Genomic DNA, 4891 nt, shown 5'->3' with positions numbered 1-4891 from the left:
CATGGGCTCGCGCATGCACAGCATGTATCATGGAAGATATTTAATAAGAAGTAGTTAACTATTTGCCTGCTGGAATGTCTTGGATCAGTTACTAACACTCCTAATTTTAGCCTTTCAGATTCTGACCACTCACAAAAGTATAGCCAGCAACCTCCTAATCCATCCTATCCCTTCTCTCTGCAAGGCAAAGGATTTCTGCCAGTTCACCTGAAATTTCAATCGAAAGGATAGATTTTAAAAATAAAGCAGAATCTTGTTGGAGCACGCTTCAGAAGCACATGCAGCACTGCCATTAAAATCAGGTCCTCCCAAAAAGACAACCATATTCAAGGAAACCCATATGTCATATATAACCATTGGATAGTATGTGTCTGAGTCTAGGATTATCAAGGCATTCTGACATTTAGTAATTTGAAATAGAACTTATTTATCAGTGGAGTGCTAGGAAAAACAGACAAGTGCAACTGGGAAAAAAGCACTAGTTAACATAAATAATGTCATTGTAGAGACAGAAAAAGAATTGGTCATATCTCAGTAAAGCATAAGAATTTTAAAGTTATTGGAATACCAGTAACATTACTGCAGGATAAAATGCTGAAAGTCTAAATTTGAAAACAAGCATTTGTCAAGTAACTATGCTTCGCATCACCTAGTAGGTGTGAGCTAAGGTTTATCTTCTGCTGTCTTCACCTGAGAGAGGCAGGAAGAAGGGGATCTGCAGACACAGCAAGGGCCCACAGGACATCCCTCAAAGGAAACACAGGGTATTGGGGATCCCTGCCCGGACACTTGTCTTTCTGTCCACTGTCACCACCACACAGGTTCTGTCACTACAGTGAGATCAGTTGTCAAGGTATGACTTTGTACTACTATCCCCTTGCACACGTGCATGTGAAATAGTAAGAACGCGCTGATGTCTGATCATGGAACAAGGAGAGCAGGATAGATGTGTGGACTGCAAGGAAGAGGGCAGGACCCCTTCTGTCTGAGACACAACACAGAAGAAGTCCATGGAAAATCAAGAGCCCTAGGCCCCCTTCTCATGGGGGCAGGCACCTCTTAGAGCCACACAGAAGAGAGAAGAGAAAAGCGTGTGTGACCGTTTATGTTTTTTGAGGTCCCTGTGCACATGACCACCTCCAGAACTACGCTGAAGGCCCTTTACTGTGTGCCCAGGGCGATGTTTCTCACCCACCAACACGGAAGAGTGCCATCATCAGAGCCAGGGGGCACAGGCAACTCTGGGGCAACCAAGGAGTATGACTTTAGCCTGCCCAGTTGAGCAATGGCTATGCTGTTTTGCTAGCTTTGTCTGTTTTTACTAGCTTTGCCTGTTTTTACCCAGGCTAAATCCACAAACCCAGAATAGGGTCTCAGAAAACTCCAGAAACTAGAGCTCTGTGCCAAGACAACGCGATGCCTAGAAGAGGGGACCCTTTGCTGCAACCACTTCCTCTGTCCTTTTAATTTTCCTGTAAAAAGTGGCTCAGCTAGAACATCCCCTCCAGCTCACACTAGGCCACAGGCAAGGAGAAAACCTGTCTCACTGAGGAAATCAGAAAGAAGGCTGTTGAATGACCCTGACGTTACAAGTCGGCCCGCAGTTTCCTTATTGTGACTATTTTTCACAATTTTTAAAACTTTCTCATTCGGTGTGAAGTTACCTATGACAGGATTACATTTTTTCTTCTGGTGTGTTCCTCAAACTAGCTAAAAATAAATGAAAATTGTATCTGTTATTGTTTATTATTTTGCTCCGTGAGCCTTGAGAATTTCTTTAAGCTAAAGGAAAACTAAGGTTTTAAACTGCACTCTAAACCCTAATCAATACTCAGAACTCAGTCAATTCAAGCTGCCAATGGCAAGGGTTGTACTCAAACATTTCCCCTGCGTGACTCACCTTTGTCTTTTCTGCCTCCCCTCACCTGTACATACACACACGCACACACACATGCGCACACACATGCACACACACACACGCGCGTGCACACACCAGTTGCTGAGCAGTGACTGTCCTCACCAAAGGTGTGAAAGTGGCCATGATGCTGAGTGCCCCCAGACAATGTCAGACGATTGACAGGCTGTGCCTGCTCTGGAGCCCTTCCTGTTTTCAAAGAAAACCCATGCAGAGCATTGGACTGTGGAAGAGCATCAGGAGAGAAAGCGCCGAGTCCTCCAGCAGCGTCAGGACTGCCCTTCACTTTCGTCCTTGCCCTTGTCAGTGTCCCAGAACAGAAGGAGCTCCGGGGACATTCTGATGGGGCTCTTCAGGGCAGAGCCCCCTGAGGAGCTCCTCTCTTTCATTCTCTCATCCCCTACTCTCTTAACATGAATTCAACTTTTGCTTAAAAATAGGCCTGATTGTCACATTCTCTTTGCCAGTTGGAGTGGATGTCACTGAGTGTCACAGAGCCCTTGGCTACAGCTTGTGGAGCGATTGCAGAGAGAAACTGGGTCCACACAGAGCAGCAACAACAGGAAGACTTTTGGAGTCTCTGATGACTCCACCCAGATTTATGCTAAGAGAGAAAGCATCGACTTTTCTTGCCATTGTCTTCTTTTCCATCGATTTCTTCCCATAACTATTTAAAATCACCATCTGTTCTCATCTTGGAAATTTAAGTACATTCAGCACAATTTCCTGATTTTTACATCCTATCGCAGATAAGCCATACATACATAGGAAATTTGGGTTCAATGTCAGGTATACAAAATGAGGTTGTATTATTCCATGTTGGATTGTAATAAAGGAATACCTGAGACTGGGTAATTTATGAAGAAGAGATTTATTGTGGCTCATGGTTCTGCAGGGTGTACAGAAAGCATGGAACCAGCATCTGCTGGGCTTCTGGAGAGGCATTGGGAAGCTCTGACTCATGGCAGAAGGGCAGTGGAGCTGGCATAGAAAAGGAGCAAAGGGTGGGGGGGGGGGGTGGGGAGGTGCAGATTATTTTTAACAACCAGATCTCCAGGTAACAGAGTAAGAACTCTCTCACTACTGTGGGGAGGGCATCAATCCTTTCAGGAAGGATCTGTCTCTGTGACCCAAACATCTCCCTCAAGGCCCCACCTCCAACACTGAGGGTCATATTTCAACATGAGATGTGGAGAGGATGAGCATTGAAACTATATCAGAGGTAAAAGAAATTATGCAAATGAGTTGACGGTCTCTTTGGGATCACGCCTCTGTTACTCTATACTCACCTAGCAAGCATTTATTGAGCACCAGCTATTTGGTAGGCATCGTTCTAAGTTCTGGGGCTACAGAGATGAATGAGGGCTCTATAGTCCCTTGAATTTCAAGAAGTTTAAGATAATATAGGATATGGGCCGAGTGCAGTAGCTCACACCTGTAATCCCAGCATTTTGGGAGGCTGAGGCAGGCAGATCACCTGAGGTCAGTGGTTTGAGACTAGCCTGACCAACATGGTGAAACCCCGTCTCTAATAAAAATACAAAAATTAGCCAGGCATGGTGGCACATGCCCATAGTCCCAGCCACTTGGGAGGCTGAGGCAGGAGAATCACTTGAACCCAGGAGGTGGATGTTGCAGTGAGCCAAGATTGCACCACTGCACTCCAGCCTGGGTGACAGGGTGAGGCTCTGTCTCAATAAATAAATAAAATAACATAAAGATAACATAGGATATGACCAATTAGCCATTATGATACAGTAGGGAAATTCTATTCTAAATGTACATATGGCTCAGGCTTCTCTTTCCACACTAGATGGCATCCCCCACCCCAGGCTATCTAGAAAATTCCTGCTTCACAATATGGTTGAGCACTTCACCTGTACAGCAGCATCTGACCTCTCTGAGTAGATTGAACCATCTCTTCCTTTTACCCCGTCATGCCATTTGCCTATTAAACTTCACTGAAACTTACAAAACAGAAAACTTTAACACGCTCACTAGATTATGAACCCCTTGAAGGCAACATTTCATCTTACTTAACGTTACAACGCTGGTGTCTACCAAAGTGCTCTCCCAGAGTCACGTTTTAATAATATTTGTCAAATGACTATATAATCTACTTTATTAAAATTATTGAGGGTCTGTATTGTACCAGGTACTATGCCAGGCAAGGACACGTGTGTGTGTGCCCATGTGTGCACACCTGCACCTGTGTGCTGGGGAAAGTGGGGTACTGGGGGAGCACTGCAAAGGTGGACAACAAAACTGACCACATGGGGCTTATGATCAAGTAAGAATCTTATAATAGGGCCAGGTGCAGTGGCTCATGCCTGCAATCCCAGCACTTTGGGAGGCTGAGGTGGGTGGATCACCTGAGGTCAAGAGTTTGAGTCCAGCCTGGTCAACCTGGCAAAACCCCATCTCTACTAAAAATGAAAAAAAATTAGCTGGGCATGATGGTGTGCGCCTGTTGTCCCATCTACTCAAGGGGCTGAGCCATGAGAATCACTTGAACCCTGGAAGCAGAGGTTGCGTGAACTAAGATCACACCACTGCACTCCAGCCTAGGCAATATAGCGAGACTGTCTCAAAAAAACATTTCATAATAAGTAGTAGATATTACTCAAGTATATCTATATTTATCCCCTAGAGGAAATCTTAAGAAATAGCCTGAGATAGTTGTAAATAGCAAAAGAAATGTCTGTGTCTCATTTCGACATTCATTCTTAGTATTTTGTTCCTAATTTCTTTATGTTGAATTTTTTTATTTCATCTCTACTATGAAAATATTTGATACATGAATACACTTTTCTGTTACATCTCATATCTTATCTGTGGCTCTTGTTATGAGGAATTTGGGGTTGCTTTTCTTACTATATTTGGGAATTTTCTCTAATAAACTACTGCTTACATTTTGGTATTTTCCTGCACGGAGATGCATCCCACACACAGGCTGTGCCGTCCGTCACCTAGCTG

General features: G+C 44.2%; 1 annotated feature.

Annotated features, from left to right (window-relative positions):
- Nucleotides 2068-2569: an enhancer, noted in NCBI's record as "H3K4me1 hESC enhancer chr2:7385571-7386072 (GRCh37/hg19 assembly coordinates)". NCBI's record gives its function as "activates a minimal SCP1, AML or CMV promoter by ChIP-STARR-seq in primed H9 embryonic stem cells {active_cell/tissue: H9 hESC(primed)}" and the evidence as "EXISTENCE:reporter gene assay evidence [ECO:0000049][PMID:30033119]".

This window comes from Homo sapiens, chromosome 2 (genome assembly GCF_000001405.40).
Source record: "Homo sapiens chromosome 2, GRCh38.p14 Primary Assembly".
In the NCBI taxonomy this organism is placed as follows: domain Eukaryota; kingdom Metazoa; phylum Chordata; class Mammalia; order Primates; family Hominidae; genus Homo; species Homo sapiens.
Note: the sequence above shows the minus strand (reverse complement) of the source record. Positions and strands in the feature narration are given on the sequence as shown.